Source organism: Homo sapiens, chromosome 17, assembly GCF_000001405.40.
Source record: "Homo sapiens chromosome 17, GRCh38.p14 Primary Assembly".
NCBI lineage: Eukaryota > Metazoa > Chordata > Mammalia > Primates > Hominidae > Homo > Homo sapiens.
Window position 1 is genome coordinate 46866427 of NC_000017.11, and position 21442 is coordinate 46887868.

The window sequence follows — 21442 nt, forward strand, 5'->3', positions numbered from 1 at the left end:
TAGGTGTGTATGAATGTGGATGTGTGTGTGAGGGAGTGTGAGTGTGTGTGTGTATTTGTGTGTGTAGGGGGATCAGTGAGGGCCAGGAGAGGTAGACTGAGACGTTTGAGATGAAAGCACAAAGGGCGCACTCACCATGCAAATGGCCTTGCAGCGGAAGCCTGTTATCAGGAGCATCTGATGGGGTTTTTCAGGGTGGAAGCCAGCACCCCGGGCAGCACAAGGCTTTCCCGGTTCCCAGGCAGCTGCCTGTAGTTGGCATGGCCCTGGCGTAATGCACTACTCCTGGACCCTCCAGCTAAGAGTCCAGACACACTGGCATTACCTGGTGCCCTAGAAACCACCTGCCTTGTCCTGTGCCACCCACCCACCACATCCTGGGGATAGCCTCTGCTGAAAGCATCAGACCCTCTCAAGCAGAAACTAGGATGGGAGTAGGTGGAAGAACAGGGCTTGGGGTCCTCTTAGGTGATGAGAAAAGCTCTCCACCAACCTGGTCTTCCCCAAACAGCCTGGAGTGCTCCCTGAGAGCTTCCTCTTGCCTCCTCCTCACCCCCAGGCCTCCTACAGGCAGGATGGGACTGGTCAAGATCAAGTTCTCACCTGCATGGTACCAGGAGTTCTGATCTGGGTCCCTAAGCAGCTACTGGTGTTTCCTCAAGGAGGCAGGCCAGTGCAAAGCTTTCTCTTCCTTCCCCTTCTTGGGGCCTTGAGAGAGTCTGGAGGACTCCTGAGTCCAACCAACTTCCTTCCAGACTGTGAGCTTCTTGAGGGCAGGACCGTGTCCCAGCACAGTACCTGGCACATGGTAGATGCTCACTAATGACAAATACTTATCTGGAGCTTACTGTGTGCTCACTGCTCTCAGAGCATAGAGAGGTAAAGCACCTTGCCTAAGGTAGCACAACTAGGAAGAGGTGGAGGTGGGATTTGAACCCAGGCAGTCTGGCTCCAGCCATCCCCTCTCATGAGTTAAGGTGTATTTGTTTGATGGAATGAGCTCAGTTGGTGAGGGGACAACCCTGAGGTCACCTCGGAGTGAGTCAGACCTAGGACCAGACTACCTAGGCCAGAACAGCCTTGGGGCATGAGATCCTTGGGCCCCACTCTCCAGGCAGGGGGTGGGTGATTACTGAAGGGTGAGGTCCCTGGGGTCCTGCTGACGGTGGACAGAGCAGTCTCCTGGGAGGCTTTTGCCAAAACCTGGGAGAGCCATCTTCTGCTTCCTTCAAGGTCACCCCAGCGGGGCAGCTTTAGCCACAATTGTGGGTGGGGTGTGTGTTGGAGAGTGTGAAAGGAGGTGGGGAAGGAGGTTCCAGGAGGATCAGAAGAGATCTGAGGGTGAGAGTGTGTGAGATGAAGCCCTGAGGGGCACCCTTGACTTCTCCCACTCTAGAGAAAGACAGGCTGGTCTGTCAAGTGGTTGGGGGTGTCCTGGGGTCCAAGCCAGAGGTCATCGCATGTGTGGAGGTGGGGGCTCTGGTTTTATGATGAACCTGACCACCAAGGACCATGGGGTGAAGGTGCAGAGAACAGAAGGGCACAGACTGGGGGCAGCAAGGGGAGGAGGCGGCCGCTGTTCACCTGGGGTCATTGCTTTCTTAATGGGAAAAGAGAGGCTGGAAGTTAGCCTGGGGAGCCTGAGACAGACAGGAATAGTGGAGGTAGCTGGGCCAAAGCAGGTGCAGCCTGATAGAGTGGTGGCCCCAGGAGGCTCAGGAGCACCTGAGTCAGGCAGTAGCCCCCAGCCCAGAAGAGCAATTAGCAAGTTGGCAAACAACCCTTCCTCTGCCCTTTAGTTCAGAACCCTGGTTACTTGTTTAACTGATCTGATAGCATCTCATTGGCCATAAGGCAGCATCTTCATTAAGACCCCCATATTTGGCTGGGCGTGGTGGCTCATGCCTGTAATCCCAGCACTTTGGGAGGCCAAGGTGGGCGGATCACATGAGGTCAGGAGTTCAAGACCAGCCTAGCCAACATGGCGAAACCCCATCTCTACTAAAAATACACAAAAAAAATAGCTGGGCGTGGTGGCACGTGCCCATAATCCCAGCTACTCGGGAGGCTGAGGTAGGAGAATTGCTTGAACCCGGGAGGCAGAGGTTGCAGTGAGCCGAAATCTCAGCACTGCACTCCAGCCTGGGTGATGGAGTGAGACTCGATTAAAAAACAAAACAAAACAAAACAAAACAAAAACACCAAAATAAACACATTTTTCTGGGTTCATAAGACTAAGGAAGCCCACTTGAATTTCTCCAGTTGTCCATCTTACCCCCTTGGCACTCAGCTAACTGTGGGTAATTGAGATTTCACAGAGGGACCCAGTGAGTGGTGTCTGCAGGGCTGGGATGCCAAACAGTATGACTTCTTCCAGGGGATGACGTTGTTCCTGCTGACCTCTGAGCAGGCTGAAGCCTGCCACACCCAGAATTATTCTGGGGTCTAGGAAGATACCTTCCCAGCAGAAGCCATGGGCTGAGCATGTGTCGGATAATTCACTGTTGAGGAAAATAGATGGTCATTTTCTAAATATGATGTCATGGTACTATTTCTTCAAAGGAAATACGATCCCAAACTGCAACACAGAAAATAAACAGAGGGAAACTGGGTCTTTGAGGCCTCCCAGGCTGTCTTCATGGGCCCTGTGGGGTTCCCGAGGCAGTGCCAGGGAGCCTTCTTTGAGAGCAGCCCTGGGCAGACCAGGGCCCGGTGTGGCCTGAGGCCTCTGTGCGGTTGGCTACCTTTCCTGGTCATTAATCGCTACTAAGTGTCATTACCACTAATAAAATTAACCGACTTGATACTGGACTCTCTGAGCCATCAATCTCAGGGTCCATTAGATGAAATTTAAAAAACAGATGCCTCTGGGGTGGGGCCTGAGGATTTGCATTCCACAGAGCTCCAAGGCAACACTGGCCATGCAGAGCTGGGCACCGTTTGAGACCCATTGCTCCCTCCAGGGTCTCTTCCCCTGGGCATCGCGGACATTGTGGTTGGAGTGGAGCCGTTCTGGGCACTGCAGAGTGCTGGGCAGCGTCCCTGGTCTCCACCCACTCCATGCCAGAAGCACCAAAAACGAAAACAAAAATGAACAAACCAACAAAAACCAGATGCCTGTTGAATGAGTGGAGGGGTTTGCTGGGTCTGGCTCCCAAGTGCAGCCTAGGGAATTCTGGCACTCTTCACATGTCAGAGGTCATAATCAAGGATGATGCATTTAGTTAGACAAACCAACTTTGAGCCTTCGCTCCACACTACATGGGAGTCCCAGACAAGAACACAGCTTGGGCAGGGTGCAGTGGCTCACGTCTGTAATTCCAGCACTCTGGGAGGCTGAGGCGGGCAGGTCACTTGAAGTCAGGAGTTCGAAACCAGCCTGGCTAACATGGTGAAACCCCGTCTCTACTAAAAATATGAAAATTAGCCAGGGATGGTGGCGCACACCTGTAGTCCCAGCTACTCGGGAGGCTGAGGCAGGAGAATTGCTTGAACCCGGGAAGTGGAGGTTACAGTGAGCTGAGATCACACCACTGCACTCTAGCCTGGACCACATAGCAAGACTGTCTCAAAAAAAAAAATGTTATATATCATGTCATATCATATGACATATACTGTAGCTATAATGATATAATAATCATAGCTATTATTCTTAAAATGGCATTTGAGGCAGGTCTTGAAGGATATGCAGCTTCATTGGCCAAAATTTCCATCACTCCCTGCTTGCTCTCCCCTCTGTCAATCAGTTGCTATCAGGGAGGTCCAGTTTCTGAAACACAGGAATTGTGTGAGCAGAAGTCGCCACTCACACCAGCCCTCGGTGTGAGAAGGAGGACATTTGAGGGCAAGGTAGCTGCAGCCCCCAAGCTGCCCTCCACACTGGAAGCCAGTCAAGGCGTGGCCTCCTCAGCTGGAGTTGACATCCAGTTCTTCTCTGGACCTGCCAAGGGTCAAACTCTGAGGATTTCCTGCCAGGCTGCAGGGAGGGGTTTGGGTGTAGACCTGGTGGACTGGAAAATTACCCATTTGCCCCCAGATTAATGATTAACGGGTCCCTGCCCTCACCCTGTCTGGGAGAGGAGCCCAGGGCCAGGCTAGGCCAACGGGAGCCCGATAGCATCTGTCTCTGCTCGGAGGTTTCGGAGATATGCTCCATGATGGGTTGACTGCACCTGATGGGTGTGGAATCTACAGGTGATTTCTGAGGGCACCTGGGGCCTGGCCAGGCCGCATACCCTCTGGTGAGGCTTCCAACTTCTGGGGCATACAGAGAGGGCATGGCCTCCAGCCAGATGTCCTGGCTAAGGCAGGTGACTCCAAAGAGGAGAGCTGTGCCCTTGGCTCAGAGGAACATGGGCTTCTCTGACCACTCCTGGCTTGACCACAGGACTTACCTTGGCCAGTGGCACATGAGCAACAGTGGCAAGTGCCACATCCAAGCAGGAGCTCTAAGAGACATTGCCTGCTTCCACCTTTGCTTTTTTTTTTTTTTTTTTTTTTTTGAGATAGGGTCTTGCTCTGTTTCCCAGGCTGGAGTGCAGTGATGCGATCTCAGCTCACTGCAGCCTCCACCTCCCGAGCTCAAGCTATCCTTCCACCTCAGCCTCCCAAGTAGCTGGGACTACAGGTGTGTGCCACCATGCCCACATAATTTTTCTATTTTTAGTAGAGACAGGGTTTTGCTGTCACACAGGCTGCTCTCAAACTCCTGGACTCAAGCGATCCACCTGCTCAGCCTCCCAAAGTGTGGAATTACAGGTGTGAGCCACTGTGCCCAGCCCACCTTTGATCTTTTACCCTGGCTATGAGGCCAGGATATCCCAGAACAGGGTTACTTCTCTTGGGCTGGGTCCTGGAATGATGTATATTCCACCCACACTGGGGGCACCAGGATATAGGACAGCAAACATTTTGAACCAGCAGAGCCATCTCACAGAGAGCTTCTGGGAAGAGGGAAGACGAACTCTAATTCCAATTCCCACCCTGCTGCTGATCTGTTGTATGACCAGTCCAGTCACTGCCCCCTCGTAAATCCTTTGTTTCCTCATCTGGACAAAGGGGAGACTCTGCTTAGCTGGAGAGTAAAGCATCTTGCAAAATGAGGGAAGTTTGGGAAGCTCCAGCTAGCAGGAAGGTAGGCCTGCTTGTCCCAGGCACTGTGGTTAGTCCATTTCATATAATCCTCCCACCAACCCTAGGAGGTAGAGAAGATCACTCTGCCCAGTTTCCAGAAGGGAAAAAACCAAGGTGTCAAGATTGCATAGCTAGAACATCAGCCTTAGAATTTGGTAGCTTGGCTCCAGAATCGATGAACTTTCAATCTAGGAGAACAAGAAGTCTGGGATTGATGGCCTGATGGGAATTCAGCTCCTTCACCTTCATCTAACCATCCATCAGTCCTTCCTTCCTTCCCTTCTCTTTCCTTCCATCCCCTTCTCTCCCCAGGCATCTGTTTGTACCAGGCACCAGGTGGTCAGATGGTTGAAGGTCTATCTGGGAATTATGGAAACATGTTAGATTGGTACAGGATTACTTGGGCAGCAGCATAATGTAAGGGAGAGAGGGATGTCAGGGGACCTTGGCTGGGTGTCCGCTCAATGTCCACATCCCCTCTGCCTGCCCCCTCTCAGGAATGTGGCTCTCTTGGCCAGGCAGCCACCAATACTCTGTGCATTATTTCCCAAACTTCCCGGATCACAAAAGCTGCCTAGGGACTGTGGTAAATGTACAGATTCCCAGGCCCAATTCCAAACCAATAGACCCAGAATTGCCCAGCATGGATCCTGGGAAAGCGTATTTTTAATAAGCACCCCAGATGATTTTTCTAACTGGGCCAATAGGGAAATAGGAAAATAGGGTGGATAAGAAGAGCAGAGACCGGAATCTGGAAAACAGGTTTAAGGTCCTGCAGCAACCTTTGTTACATGAACCTTGGTTTCCTAATCTGTAAAATGGGGACGGGACCTCCAGCGGGTCAGCCTGCTGCCCAGAAGGGCAGTAAATGAAGCCCCTGAGGAGGCCCCTTCCCTTCATTTGCCCCTCACCACCATCCCCAAGGCTCACCTGTCTCCCTCCTCTCGCTCTCTCTAGCCTGACCGGGCGGGAAGTCCTGACGCCCTTCCCAGGATTGGGCACTGCGGCAGCCCCGGCACAGGGCGGGGCCCACCTGAAGCAGTGTGACCTGCTGAAGCTGTCCCGGCGGCAGAAGCAGCTCTGCCGGAGGGAGCCCGGCCTGGCTGAGACCCTGAGGGATGCTGCGCACCTCGGCCTGCTTGAGTGCCAGTTTCAGTTCCGGCATGAGCGCTGGAACTGTAGCCTGGAGGGCAGGATGGGCCTGCTCAAGAGAGGTGGGGAGGAGGGCTAGGGGACGGGGAGGGCTGGGGGAAGAAGCCTTCAGGGAGGAGGAGGCTGGGAGAGGCTGCCCTTTCCTTTTTCCTGGCTCCCGTGCCCAGGCCACACTGCCCTTCCTGCCCTAGCACGGTCCCAAATGAGAAGAGTCACAAGAGTTAATGAGGGGCAGTTGAAGGCCAGCTGTGGCCCAGCCTCAGGTTTGGGGGAGCAGAGGAGCAAGGAAGATCCAAGAGAGGAGGAGACACAAGCCTATTCCTGGAGGAGCTCACAGATAAGATGGGGTCCCCCAGTTGTCTCCCTCTGCCTCTTCACACACACACACACACACACACACACACACACACACACACACACACGAAACAAGGCACATGAAGACGTGAGGATGGGCGGCAGCTGATTCCAGGCCCGATGACACGAGCCAGGCGATGCATTTGTTCACTCCTTTATCTGTCCCTTTGTTTGTCACATCCATCGATCCATCAGTCCCTCCTTCCCTTCCACTCCCATTCTACCTCCCTCCCCACTCCACCCACCCACTAAGCATCCATGGAGGCCCATAGTGAGCCAGGCACTGTGCCAGATCCTGGAGGTTCAGAGCTGAACCAGACCCAGCTACCCTCGGGAAGCATGCAGTCTGGAAGGGAGAACACAGGTCACCATGTGACTCCCTTGCCAAGGGGAAAGGGCTTTTGACAGGGAAGGATGAGGGAATGTGGCTTGAGGACACAGCTCCGGGTGGGTCTCCCTGTCAATTGCCCCTTAAACTCTGACTCAAGTTGCCATTTAAATGGAACTTCTAGCCTGGGCGCAGTGGCTTGTGCCTCTAATCCTAGCACTTTGGGAGGCCGAAGCGGGTGGATCACTTTAGGTCAGGAGTTCAAGACCAGTCTGGCCAATATGATGAAACCCCGTCTCTACTAAAAATACAAAAATTTAAACACTGCAGTTGGCCGGTTGCCATGGCTCACACCTGTAATCCCAGCACTTTGAGAGGCCGAGGTCAGGAGTTTGTAACCAGCGTGGTCAAAATGGTGAAACCCCATCTCTACTAAAAATACAAAAATTAGCTGGCATGGTGGCAGGAGCCTGTAATCCCAGCTACTTGGGAGGCTGAGGCAGGAGAATTGCTTGAACCCGGGAGGTGGAGGTTGCAGTGAGCCAAGATTGTGTCACTGCACTCCAGCCTGGGAGACAGAATGAGACTCTGTCTCAAAAAAAAAAAAAAAAAAATGCAGTGATGCTGTACAGGGCAGCCAGGCCCCTCCTAGGCCAGCTGCTCTCCACGGTCTGCAGCCAAGCTAATGGCCTCTCTCTGTGTCTCTCTCGGGACATCACCAGCACCCAGATGCACTGGAGGGCAGGCAGGAAGTAGTGAGCTGGTGGGAGGCCAGGTTTGGGCCACACCCAGCAGAGAGGAGTGTCGGTGGTTCTGGAGTGGGTGGGATGGTCAGTCTGAGGCAAGTCAGCCAGGAGACTCAAGGTCACTGTATCATTGGGTCTATTCCACAGTGGGTAGCAGAGAATGACATTTGAGAACCATCATGTGTCATAGGAAGCCCATGGGGCTTATCTCAGGGGCCTCAGAAATGGGCCCATCCAAATGGTCATACACCGACCTGGAGTCAAAATGGCAGGTTTAGCCCCAACTGTGCCTACGCCAGGTGTCTGAGTAGCTTCTCTTTGCATCTCAGTGTTCTTCTCTGAGAGGTGAAGGCCGTAGCCCCTGGCCTGCTGCCCTCTGGGAATCTGGGAACATACTCCATAGTGAATTTGTAAATTCCATTTATTTATTTATTTATAAATTAAAAAAATTTTTTTGAGACAAGGTCTCCCTCTGTCACCCAGGCTGGAGTGCAATGGCGCAATCTCAGCTCACTGCAACCTCCACCTTCCGGGTTCAAGTGATTCTCCTGCCTCAGCCTCCTGAGTAGCTGGGAATATTGGCATGTACCACCATGCCCGGCTAATTTTTGTATTTTTAGTAGAGACGGGGTTTCACCATATTGGCCAGACTGGTCTTGAACTCCTGACCTCAAATGATCCGCCCGCCTTGGCCTCCTAAAGTGCTGGGATTAGGGGCACGAGCCACTGTGCCCAGCCTGGAAGTTCCATTTAAATGGCAACTTGCAGTCAGAATTTAAGGGGCAGTTGACAGGGAGACCCACCCGGAGCTGTGTCCTCAAGCCACATTCTCTTGTCCTGCCCATCACAGCGCTGCCACCACCGCCTCTGGCCCTCAGAGGGCGGCAGGCAACCTCTAAGCTTCCTCCTTTCCTCTCTTCCCCCTTTCCTCCCTCCCTATGCCCCTGGGTGCCCGATCCAGGCTTCAAAGAGACAGCTTTCCTGTACGCGGTGTCCTCTGCCGCCCTCACCCACACCCTGGCCCGGGCCTGCAGCGCTGGGCGCATGGAGCGCTGCACCTGTGATGACTCTCCGGGGCTGGAGAGCCGGCAGGCCTGGCAGTGGGGCGTGTGCGGTGACAACCTCAAGTACAGCACCAAGTTTCTGAGCAACTTCCTGGGGTCCAAGAGAGGAAACAAGGACCTGCGGGCACGGGCAGACGCCCACAATACCCACGTGGGCATCAAGGTGAGCATGTCCCTGGCTGCCCGCAGTGCCTTCCCACCAGGGTACACAGCTGGGGAGCATGGCTTGAAGGAGGCCAGCACCCCACTCCCCAAAATACATGAAGAGCCGTGAACTTCATAAAGGCAGGATGAACTTCACGTCTTCAACCAGCATTCCCTTGGCATCTACTCTGGGCTGTGACTGGGTGCCAGGAACACAGCGGAAGCATGGAAGGGTCATGAGTGTCATTGGTGGAAGCAGTGGTCACCAGTGGGAGCCAGGCTTAGGACTAGGTCTGGTGAAGCAGGGACATGTTTGGAGAGGGGTCTCCATTCCAAGGACCAGGCCTTCCTGGAGGTCCTGGAAGCCCAACATTGTTTGAAAACCTCCATCTAGAGCAACTGCCCACTTCTCCATTTTATGGGTGGGAAGATGGAAGTGGCCCAGAGAAGGGAAGGGGCTGAGGTTACACAGTAGTGGGAGGTCTGGAGGGTGAAAAGTATCTTGGTCTATTGAGGGGAGGAGGCTGGGAGACACCAGTGCTCTAGCTGTTTATGAGATTAAGTTCTGAGTTGTCATCACTGAGTTGTGAACCGGGGCTGCTGTGTTCAATCATTGAGTTGGTGTGAACCGGGGCTGCTGTGTTCAGTCACTGAGTTGGTGTGAACCGGGGCTGCTGTGTTCAGTCACTCAGTTGGTGTGAACTGGGACTGCTGTGTTCAGTCGCGTAAGTTGTCTATTCCACAAGAACTCCAGGCCAAGGGGAGGAGCTGGGGCTGAGACCCTGGGTCTCTTTCCCATTCTCCTGCCTCTGCCCTGCTGGGGTTGGTGCTCTGGGGGCAGGCTCTGGCTGCTGGGCCCAGGCCTCTGACCACGCCTCTGTTCTGCCTCCCCCACAGGCTGTGAAGAGTGGCCTCAGGACCACGTGTAAGTGCCATGGCGTATCAGGCTCCTGTGCCGTGCGCACCTGCTGGAAGCAGCTCTCCCCGTTCCGTGAGACGGGCCAGGTGCTGAAACTGCGCTATGACTCGGCTGTCAAGGTGTCCAGTGCCACCAATGAGGCCTTGGGCCGCCTAGAGCTGTGGGCCCCTGCCAGGCAGGGCAGCCTCACCAAAGGCCTGGCCCCAAGGTCTGGGGACCTGGTGTACATGGAGGACTCACCCAGCTTCTGCCGGCCCAGCAAGTACTCACCTGGCACAGCAGGTAGGGTGTGCTCCCGGGAGGCCAGCTGCAGCAGCCTGTGCTGCGGGCGGGGCTATGACACCCAGAGCCGCCTGGTGGCCTTCTCCTGCCACTGCCAGGTGCAGTGGTGCTGCTACGTGGAGTGCCAGCAATGTGTGCAGGAGGAGCTTGTGTACACCTGCAAGCACTAGGCCTACTGCCCAGCAAGCCAGTCTGGCACTGCCAGGACCTCCTGTGGCACCCTTCAAGCTGCCCAGCCGGCCCTCTGGGCAGACTGTCATCACATGCATGCATAAACCGGCATGTGTGCCAATGCACACGAGTGTGCCACTCACCACCATTCCTTGGCCAGCCTTTTGCCTCCCTCGATACTCAACAAAGAGAAGCAAAGCCTCCTCCCTTAACCCAAGCATCCCCAACCTTGTTGAGGACTTGGAGAGGAGGGCAGAGTGAGAAAGACATGGAGGGAAATAAGGGAGACCAAGAGCACAGCAGGACTGAAATTTTGGACGGGAGAGAGGGGCTATTCCATCTTGCTTCCTGGGATGAATGGCTTGGAGCCAGCATGTTCTTGGGAGGTGAACTGCTGGGCTAGGAATGCCAAGGCAGGCAGTGCCAGCTGGAAGTGAAGGCGGGAGCCTGGCTGAGATGGGTCAATCGGGTCCTGTGGCCCTGCTCAGGTGCAGTGGGCTCCAGGTGTCACACACCTCCACCACTCCCCTGGTTTTGCTGTGCCAGAGATGGGGAGAAAGCACAGGTGGTAGAAGCCATCCGTTCAGAGAAAGGAGAGCTTTCTGTGCTTGAGTGGACCCGAGTGAGATCTGTGCCCTGGAGCCCTGTGTCCTTGATTTGGCTTTTCAAATATGCCTCCGCTGAGGCCTCATTCTTGTCTCGAGAGCTGGGTTATGCACACTCACCCAGCCGTGCTCAAAACTACCACCAGTGCAGGTAAGACAGGTGGGAGAACTAGCCACCAAGGCGGGACTCAGTGCACCTGAGGTTGAACAGGGAGACAACGGCCCCTCCCTGTGTTCCCTGCTGGCCAAAGGAATCTTCACTCCCAGCGCAGAGGAGGAGGGCAACAGCTTCCTGGTGCCTGGCAGTGACGTGGCGAGCTCAGTTTCTCAGCTGGCTCTTGAGTGAGCTTTGGTGACTTCCTGTGGCTGGGGCCTGCCTGGTCTGTGACACCCCCATACCAGCTGAGTTCACAATACTGAAGAACAGCTGGCTCACGAGCTATGACTTGAAGTTACATTTCTATTCTTGTGGCTGCTCATCTAGTTAAGGCTTTTGCCCTGGCTGGGGTTATAGGTGCTTGAGTCCTTGCTAAGCCTGGCTCCTGGGTAGCCTCCTTCAGTTCCTAATGGCCTCTCACTTGGCCCTCACTTTGGCTCTTACTTGAGGAGGAGACGTGACTTTGATAATTTCCTCAGATCCTGTGGACATTTTCAGCAGCACCTGCCAAGGCCCTCTGTGAAAGGAGGAGAGACTGGTACCTCCACACAGGCACACATGGATGCACAGCCCCTGGACCAGGCTGGGGGTTCCTGTTGCACATGCCTCTCTTGTTCAGGATGAAGACCTTGCAGGGGTCCCCTTGCTGGAGGCATTGTACTTCCCCAGAGTGGGGCCCGATGCCACCCAGGAGGAAGTGACTTCTTTCGGGAAGCCCTTGGCCACTTTGCTGGCCCTGCCACGCCCATCTGTCAGCTTCCTTTCTCCCTAAACCTAGAGTTGCTGACCCTTCACCAACACAGGAAATTTCAGAATCAGCTGAATGCTCAGAAACCTCGCCTGTGCCAGCTCCAGGACAAAGGCCCGCTGACTGTGCCCTGGCCAACTCCCTGAGACCTCCAAGGGCGAGGAGGAGCTGCCCAGTCTCCAGTGGATCAGGGCAGTCTGCTGGATGCTGGAAGGATTTTTGACTGCAGAGGCCCGGCTGAGAAGCCAAACTGACCTGAGCCCCTCTCGTTAAAATGACATTGCTGACCCAAGCACCTGGCCCACACCTTGGCAGCAGGAGAAAAATGGGGAGAGGGCTGGTTTTCTCCTTTCTTCCACTTCCCCACAGCATGGAGATTTTCTCTGCCTTCCCAATCCATCTTGCTCCTCCGAGACCCCAACTCTGCCTCCACCCAGGCTCAGTGCTGGGCGTAAGGCAGCAGGGACCTCACTGGCAGAGCAGGGGGCCTGGGAGCAACGTGGAGGCCAGAGCACCCTGATCCACCAACATGCCACCTGCATTCTGACTTCATGGCTGGCAGTGCCAGGGTCGTGGGAGGGCAAAGGGCAGGCTCTAAGGCATCTAGGCAGTGGCTGGCTGCTAACATGGACACCCCAAGTCAATGGCACAGTGCAGGTTCTGAGGGCTCCTTGGCTTGTGGGGTCTTCTCTGTCTGTCTCTCTCCCTCTCTTCTTCCTTGCTCTCATCCCTTTCTTTTCCAGTTACCCCTGAAGACCCACCTCGGCCCTCTTGGGGCCCCTGGGGACTAGAGTGACCACTGACCCCTCATTCTACAGCTTTAAGGGAAATGCTCACAGGGTATTTTTGTCTACCTCAAATATATAGTTTTTAGAGCAAAGGAGAATAATTTATATAGCTAAGATATATGAGAAAGTATTTATATTATTTATATAGTTGCTATATTTCACAGACAGCACAGGTGGGGTTTGTGTATTTTCCCGGAAACCCTCTGTCTGGGGAGATACAGCCTGACCTGACCGGGTCCCCCACTGAGCAGGAGGCCGGGTCGCTGGGAAGGAGGACAAACCTGTATTCCATGACTGGGTCTGTCTCGGAGCTGGTAAGCACATGTCCGCTCTGTGATGAGCCCTGGTGGGCTCCATCCAGACCCTCCTTGTGATGTTTTTGTAGATTTTCTGCCCTTCTGGGTCCAGGCCCCCTTCTTCTGCTCTGGCAAAAGTGTCTTACTCATAATGATAATGACAACGAGAATTCCCACACCTGGCATTTGTAAAGCACTTTGCTATTTAGAAACAAAAACTTTTACCCCTTTCATCTCACTTGATTTCTCCGTTATCTCTGTGAGGTAGGTGGGGCCACATTACTGTGGCCATTTTATAGATGAGGTCCAGAGATGGAGAGCTGTGCTCAAAGTCACACCTAAGAGACTTGTTCAATGAATATTTACTGAACATCTCCATAGACCAGGCACTACGGGCTGACCTGCTCTGAGCCCAGGAGCCCCAAAGCCTGGATACCACTGTGAGCCCAAGAACTCAGGGAAGCAGTTCCTTCCCAGGCTGTGATCCCAGCCTTTTGGATCTGGATGGCATGTTGGCACTTCCCCCAAGTGGAGTCCCATGTCTCAGGGGCTTTGGCTGCCTGAGAAGGCTGGAGAGACCAGGAACCCATGGAGGCCACTCCAAGGGGTCCTTCTGCCCACACTGCCCAAGAAGCTTGGGCTACACCACTGGGCCCCTCCCAACCTACAGATGAATTTTGATTGCTCTCATTTGTGTTTTGCTTGTAAAAATGAATTGTTTTCCACTGGATTTCTGGCTGCTTTTGCAAAAGTCAGCTGCGCTGGCAGACTGGGCCTGCATGTCCTCCTGCAGGCAGCTAGAGTGAGGGAGTCTAATGGACAGGATGCCCCAAGTGCCCCCGTTGCTCATGGATGCCCCTGCCTGCCTCTCATGAGCACATAGTCCTGTCCCCTGGTCTAGATAAGCCCAGCTTTCCTGGTACCCTTCATCACCTGGCAGACAGACAGCCCCATGCCAACCCTGGACATTACTTGCTTTTGAACCTTTCCTTTCTCAACAACCATGAACTTCAAATGCTTTCTGTCTCAGGACACTTTAGAATAACAATGGAAGCCATCACTTATTGAGCACCCCTTATGTCCATTTATTCAACCAATGATTATTTAGGGATCTCTTATTGAGCACCAGGCAGCATCCTGGGTGCTTGGTGCAGCAAGGAACAGGACCAAGTCTCTGCCTCATGGGGCTGACATCCTAGTGGGTGAGAAAGACAATAAACCAATAAATGACATGCCAGTTATTTGCATTTACTTTGTCTCAATTTATTGCAATAACTTTGCACATTGGACATGGTCCCCGTAATGGATAAGGAAATGGAGGTTGTGAGATGAGAAGCCTCCTCATTGCAACTGGCAGGCAGTGGGGCCAGGATTGGAACACAGATCTCCTGGCCTCCAAAGTATGGGATTTTTTTCCTCTGTACACTGGTATAGGTCGGGCAGGGATGGATCGCCCCATTTTATTGATTCTGGGTAAACTAAGGCCTAGAGGAAGGAAATAATCCATCCTGGATTACACACCAATTCAGACAGGCCAGAGCCTGCATCCTTCCTGGAGTTGATAAGCATTTCTGGAGCCCTCATGCTATGGCAAGCAGCATGGCTCAGGGTGGGGCGGGATGAAGCCAACCAGGGGCCTTCAGGGACCTACAGTCTAATAGGAGAAATGAGAAGCACAGCCATGCAGTGGTTTGGGTCATTTACACACGAATCCTGTGTCCCTTTTCTGGCCACAGTTCCTTCCCAACATGCTTTGGGAGGCCTCGCCCACCAGGATCCTCCTGGGGGTCTGATGGGAGAGGAGGCCTCTTTCTGAGCCAAGCACAGCAGAGAGTGCCTGTCTCCTGGCTCAGGCCTGCCCTGCCCCAGTTCTTCAGCCCTGCTGGGGTCCACATTGCCTTAACTGGGCTCCCCAGGGCGGGAGGCAGAGGTGGGCCCACAGTCCAGCCCTGCAGGGGCCTACATTTCCACCAGCATCCCCGTCCTAACATGCTCCTTCTACCCAGTGTTCCTGGGCCTGGAGACCAGCTGGCTCTGAGTAATGACAGACACGTCCACATGCAGCAGCAGGCTCCAGTTTATCAAGGGATTTCTCATCTATTTTCTCTCTTGAACCTCACAAGGTGGACACCCTTCTTCTTTTTTTACAGATAGGGGAATTGAGACACAAAATGGTTAAGTGACTTACCAAAGGCTATATCGCTAGCAAGCGGATCCAGGCCTTTTGCCTCCAAACCCCATATTCTCTCTACCATACACCATCCTCACCTCCTCCTGCCCTCATCTGAGCCTTACTTTGTTCCTGCTCATAATCTAGTTCCCAAACAGGCCCGCAGACCCCTCCACCTCCAGCTGCTCAATGCCACCATCTTCCAGGAGGACCGGGGCTTGTTGAGACAGTCACTAGGTGGGTACCCTACCCGCAATATCCCTCCTCCTTTAAAAACAGCCACATGTGCTTTCTGTCTTTGCATTTGCAATATCTATCTTGTTGAATCACTTGTGAGACCTTTGCAGACACCAAGACACTTACATACTTTATCATGTATCTCCTAAGGACAAGAACATTCTCCAACAGAACCACAAGGCCATCACCACATCTAAGAGATGTAACATTGACAAAAATTATCTACTACATAGTCCATATTCAGACTTCCCCAATTGTCCCTCAAAATGTCCTTTATAACATTATTTTCTGGCCAGGCACAGGTTCACACCCATAATCCCAGCGATTGGAGAGGCCGAGGCAGGAAGATCGCTTGAGCCCAGGAGTTCGAGGATATAGTGAGCTGTGATTGCACCACTGCCTTCCAGCCTGAGCGACAGAGTGAGACCCTGTCTCTAAAAAATTAAAATTAAAAAATTTTTAAAACATGTTTTCCTGGCCCAGGATCCACTCAAGAATTAGGCATTGCACGTTGTTTTCATGTCTCTCCAGCTCCCTGTAATCTAGAACAGTCCCCCTCTTTCTTTGCTTTCATAACAGTGATAGTTTGAAGAGTCCAGGCTGCATGTCTCGTGGAATACCTCTCAACTGAGATTTGCCTGATCGTTTCCTTGTACTTGGATTCAGGTTAAACATTTTGGCAATAAGCTGCTTGGGTGATGTGTATCCTATTCTGTGCATGCTGTAAGGAGCCACAGGATGTTTTGCTCTTGTTGCCCAGGCTGGAGTGCAGTGGTGCGATCTCGGCTCACAGCAACCTCCACCTCCTAGGTTCAAGCGATTCTCCTGCCTCAGCCTCTAGAGTAGCTGGGATTACAGGCTCACCCATGATGGGGATGGGGACATTCTGGAGGGAGAGGCACTGGCGGGAAGCATCCTATGCCTGCCCCCACCCTTCCCATTTCTTTCCGATTCTTGACTTCGCTCCATCTCTCACCTGGAGTTCCTTCTTGCAACCGATCATGCAGCAAACACGGATTGGTGGCCTATGGTGCACGAGGCACGTGACAGGGTCCTAGATGCCATGGTAATGAGACTAGGTCCAGCCTTCAGGGAGGTCCCAGACAAGGGGAGAGACAAGCAAAGAGATGGCTGGCATGCACGGTGTCCAGCACTCCAATAGGTGGCTCTGTGCAGGCTCCACCCCACACAGGCATTCCTGTGCAGGCCATTTCCTCATACTCCCCTCTGGGCAACCCCAGGGGTCCATACAACCATGATCCCCATTTTTTTTTTTGAGACAGAGTCTCCCTCTGTCTCCCAGGCTGGAGTGCAGTGGCATGATCTCTGCTCACTGCAAGCTCCGCCTCCCAGGTTCATGCCATTCTCCTGCCTCAGCCTCCCGAGTAGCTGGGACTCCAGGTGCCCGCCACCACGCCCGGCTAATTTTGTTTTTGTATTTTTAGTAGAGACGGGGTTTCACCACGTTAGCCAGGATGGTCTTGATCTCCTGACCTCGTGATCCGCCCACCTCAGCCTCCCAAAGTGCTGGGATTACAGGCGTGAGCTACTGCGCCCGGCCTTTTTTTTTTTTTCCTTTGTGAGATGGAGTCTCGCTTTTGTCACCCAGGCTGGAGTGCAATGGCGCAATCTTGGCTCACTACAACCTCCGCCTCCCGGGTTCAAGTGAGTCTCCTGCCTCAGCCTATAGAGTAGCTGGGATTACAGGCGCCTACCCCACGCCCGGCCTTATTTTTGTATTTTTAGTAGAGACGGGGTTTCACCATGTTGGCCAGGCTGGTCTTGAACTCCTGACCTCAGGTGATCCACCCATCTTGGCCTTCCAAAGTGCTGGGATTACAGGCGTGAGCCACTGTGCCTGGCCTATGATCCCCATTTTATAGATGAGGAAACTAAAGCTCAGAGAGGTTCCCTTGCTACACAATAAGTAGCAGGGCTGGAAATGAAACAGCTTCTTCACTGCCTCTTCCCGGGGAGTGCTGGGCACGGCCTGGGGACAGAGAGACGGGGTATGAGGGAGTTGCAAGGATTCAGGGCGACTGGTGGCATCTTCCAGTCCTGCCACTTGGTCCTCCTTGTCTTCTCCTCTCTCTCTTTCTCCCCACCCTGCATACCGCAAAGAGGAGGTTAATGCCTCTCACGCGTCTTATCCCCCCACTCCCATCCCTCCTCAAGTCCCCAGGGGCTGTGGGGCCCATATTCCTCCCTGGCTCTCTTGGGCCCATTAGTGTGTTTACGCTGGAGCCGTCTCAGGGGAGCTGAGCCCCTACCCCTGCCCCACCGTCCTCCCGCCATGGAGAGTGGGCAGTGGAGTGGTGGAGGCCGGGCAGAGGCACGGGAGAACCTGACCCAGCGTCCGAATTCCTGCCCCCACGTCTCAACAAGTCCAGGGTGGCCAGAAGCCTGGAGAGCAACGGTAGCCCCCCGGGACCCCCACCTCTTCCCACACAGCCCCACCAGAGCCTGACAGGCTCTAATCTCAGCTGTCTTCATGCAGCCAGCCCTCCGAGCCCGGGGTCACCTGACGCTGACACATTTTAATTCAGAAGCTGATTTCTGCTTGTTGGCAACATGTCATTTCTGAAATTGCTTTCTCTGCCCAGAGGCGGGAGATGTCAGAGCTGCGCAGGTGTTGCAGTGGTGCCGCCCCCGCCCCACACCCAGCCCCCTCTCCAAGTTCAGGAAGGATTAAGGGGCGTGAGGGGGCACACAGGAGATCCTCAAGCTCTGCTTCTCATGTTTCCCCAAGTGCTGGGGGCCAGGGATGGGGGACTCCTGGAATGGCCTCTGCTTTCCTTTCCAGCCTGATGACAGAGGCCCAGGGTTTGGTAAATGAAGTTGCTGCTCTGCCAGTGCTGACAACAGCCACAGTAGTTGTTTTGCGCAGGCTTCATACAGGTACCAAGTGCTCTGCAGAGTGCCTCTCGTGTGCATTGTTGTATTTGAATCTTATGACAACGCTCCAAGTTGGTGTCATCCCTCCTTTGCAGCTGAGAAAACCGGGGCTCAGAGGGGTTAGACCACTTGCCTGAGGTCACACAGCAAGTATGAGGCGGGGCCAGCTTTCAGACCCAGTGAAGGCGACAGCTGGACTGGGATTGGGAGGTCTGGGAAGGGAGAGGCCGTGGAGCTGGGGAGGACTATGGCCTGGCTTCTCCTATATTTGCTTCCTGACTTGGTTCAAATATCTCCAGTGAAATTTGTGAACTCCCCCAACTTCCCCACTCCTGCAACCCATCAAATAGTTATTTGCTCCCTCTTTTATATTTCCTTAGCTTTTTTTTTTAGACGAAGTCTTGTTCTTGTTGCGCAGGTTGGAGTGCAGTGGCAAGATCTCAGCTCATCACAACCTCCACCTCCCGGATTCAAGCGATTCTCCCGTCTCAGCTGCCTGAGTAACTGGGATTACAGGCATGCACCACCACGCCTGACTAATTTTGTATTTTTGGCTAATTTTGTATTTTTAGTAGAGATGAGGTTTCTCCATGTTGGTCAGGCTGGTCTCGAACTCCCGACCTCAGGTGATCCACCCGCCTCGGCCTCCCAAAGTGCTGGGATTACCGGTGTGAGCCACTGCGCCTGGCCAGCATTTTTTTTTTTGAGACAGAGTCTCGCTCTGTCACCCAGGCTGGAGTGCACTGGCATGATCTCTGCTCACTGCAACCTCCACCTCCCAGGTTCAAGTGACTCTCTTGGCTCAGCCTCCCAAGTAGCTGGGACTACAGGCGTGCACCACCACGCTCAGCTAATTTTTGTATTTTCAGTAGAGATGGACTTTTATCATGTTGGCCAGGCTGGTCTCGAACTCCTGGTCTCAAGTGATCTGCCAGCCTCAGTCTCCCAGGGTGCTGGGATTACAGGTATGAGCCACTGTGCCCGGCCGCCTTAGCATTTTGTGTATGTTTTGAGTGACAGCCATCTGTCAATATTGGCATCTTTTGTTTTATTGGATGAATGAATGAACAAATGAATTTATAAATCTTGTTCTCCATACTGTTTACCCATCCTCATTTCCCTCACTTGGCAGTGTCTTGCCATAGCAGGCTTCCTGGTGTAGCTGGCACCACATCCCTCCCTGACACACGGCCTCCTTATTGCCCCTGCTACTTGCCTTTTTCTCTCCTCCCTTTCCTTCCCTTCATTCCCCCTGGCTTCCCCTTCCCAACTCTCAGAATCCCTGGCTGCCTCAACCACAAGAACAAAGCTGTGCAGAAGCCTGAACCTGGAGCTTCTGCAAGATGAGGTGGGGAATGAGCTAACCCAGCTGGAAAGCAGCCTGCTGATCCCTGGGAGAGACGGCGCTTGGGCCAACCCACCCTCCCCAAGGTGGTCCCCTGCCTCAGCTCCACCCGCTTCCCCAGATGAACTTCTTTCTCTCCCTCCAGCGCTTCAGAGGATGCACAGCTGTGTGTACTTGACCCTGAGCCTGGGCTAGTGCTGGGGACATAGCCAGTCTGGCTGATACCCATATCAGTACAGAAAGCTGTCCTCACCCACTTCATGCACTAGTTGCATTGGTATGAAGCATTAGCTTTATAACTATCCCATTTACTGCAGGCATAAACCTATATCAATTGGTGGGGATGGAGGTTAAATGAGAGAAGACATCAAAGATGCATAGAACTATTGGGCCCCTTTCAATTAATAAATAAAATTTGTAGGAGGCCATTAGTTTGTACTGTGCTCCTGTAATGGACCCAACAGACCAAACAAATATGGAGTCACTCATGCTAAATGCAATTAACTTGGGAGTATACTCCTAAGTTGCAAAAAGTGGTAACAAATAGCTGAGTTTTGGGGCAGTTACAGCAGCTGAGCATCTGTCAATGTAGGTGGCCAGGTGATTCAATTAAGGATGCTGTAACCAATTAAGCTGTATCTACACCTCACTTCTGTTTTCTATCTACAAATACTGCGTGATCATGTTGCTGGTTGGAGTTCTTTGAATAAGCTGTGGTTCGGAGGGATGCCCAATTCTAGAATCATGAATAAAAGCCTATTAAGATCTTTAAACAAAATTTATTGTCATTTTGTCTTTTGACATTTTACAGATGGGCAAAGTGAGGCCAGGTGAGCAACAGCATCTGTTTTTTTTGTTTGTTTGTTTGTTTTTTGAGACTGAGTCTCACTCTGTCACCCAGGCTGGAGTGCAGTGGTGCGATATCAGCTCACTGCAAACTCCACCTCCTAGGTTCAAGCAATTCTCCTGCCTCAGCCTCCCGAGTAGCTGGGATTACAGGCGTGCACCACTATACCTGGCTAATTTTTGTGTTTTTAGTAGAGACGGGGTTTCACCATGTTGCCCAAGCTGGTCTCGAACTCCTGGGCTCAAGCAATCCACCTGCCTTGGCCTCCCAAAGTGCTGGGATTACAGGCATGAGCCACTGTGCCCGGCCAGCAAGAACATCCTTAACACAAAGTTGGAGTCATGGTAAAATGAGGTCAGGATTGGGCAGGCACTAACAGGACTTTGGAAGTATAGCATTGCTCTATCTCCTGATAATTAATGAGGGATACTGTTTATGTTCCCATTTAAAAATTAAGCCTAAAAAATTGAAATTGGGATCCATTTCACAGAGGATGGTCAAATGTCCAAGAAGAAGGGACAGGTGGTCATTAAAATTCAGATAAACAGAGTTCCCAGTGAGCACTGTCTTGGGAGTAGAACTAAGCAAGCAAAGTCACCTTTCTTCTCTGAGCCTCATTCATTAAAAAAAAAAAATCTCTATATAGATATCTTTCTATAGCAATCTCTCAGAGAGGGCCAGGCGTGGTGGCTCAAGCCTGTAATCCCAGCATTTTGGAAGGCTGAGGTGGGTGGATCATCTGAGGTCAGGAGTTTGAGACCAGCTTGGCCAACATGGTGAAACCCCATCTCTACTAAATACAAGAAATTAGCCGGGCATGGTGGCATATGCCTGTAACACCAGACACTTGGGAGGCTGAGGCAGGAGAATCGCTTGAACCCAGGAGGTGAAGGTTTCAGTGAGCCAAGATCACTCCACTGCACTCCAGCCTGGGCGACATAGCGAGACTCCCTGTCCAAAAGAAAGAAAGAAAGAAAGAAAGAAATCTCTGAGAGAGATAGATAACACATGTAGCACTCCTACTATGTGCCAAACACTGTGCTGGGCCCCAGGGATGAAGC

The 21442-nt window shown here is 52.9% G+C and overlaps 2 protein-coding genes across 4 annotated transcripts in view, besides 2 other annotated features; both read left to right on the forward strand.

The window, feature by feature from the left end:
* WNT9B (Wnt family member 9B) overlaps positions 1–20312 on the forward strand; it is a 53550-nt gene extending 33238 nt beyond the window's left edge. For 2 of the 3 annotated variants that reach the window (XM_011525178.3, NM_003396.3), the window contains exons 2-4: positions 6091–6347; positions 8675–8940; positions 9819–14134. In XM_011525178.3, the coding sequence (XP_011523480.1) occupies positions 6091–6347; positions 8675–8940; positions 9819–10292 (997 nt within the window). In that variant the 3' untranslated portion in view covers positions 10293–14134. Of the gene's footprint in view, positions 1–6090; positions 6348–8674; positions 8941–9818; positions 14135–18607 lie in introns of those variants that run through there. The other variant, NM_001320458.2, reaches the window with a different exon arrangement.
* The window catches only part of LRRC37A2 (leucine rich repeat containing 37 member A2), a 676337-nt gene that overhangs the window by 493635 nt on the left and 161260 nt on the right, over positions 1–21442 (forward strand). The window lies entirely within an intron of this gene.
* Positions 9993–10593: an enhancer, noted in NCBI's record as "H3K27ac-H3K4me1 hESC enhancer chr17:44953785-44954385 (GRCh37/hg19 assembly coordinates)". NCBI's record gives its function as "activates a minimal SCP1, AML or CMV promoter by ChIP-STARR-seq in naive H9 embryonic stem cells {active_cell/tissue: H9 hESC(naive)}" and the evidence as "EXISTENCE:reporter gene assay evidence [ECO:0000049][PMID:30033119]".
* Positions 11903–12402: an enhancer, noted in NCBI's record as "H3K4me1 hESC enhancer chr17:44955695-44956194 (GRCh37/hg19 assembly coordinates)". NCBI's record gives its function as "activates a minimal SCP1, AML or CMV promoter by ChIP-STARR-seq in naive H9 embryonic stem cells {active_cell/tissue: H9 hESC(naive)}" and the evidence as "EXISTENCE:reporter gene assay evidence [ECO:0000049][PMID:30033119]".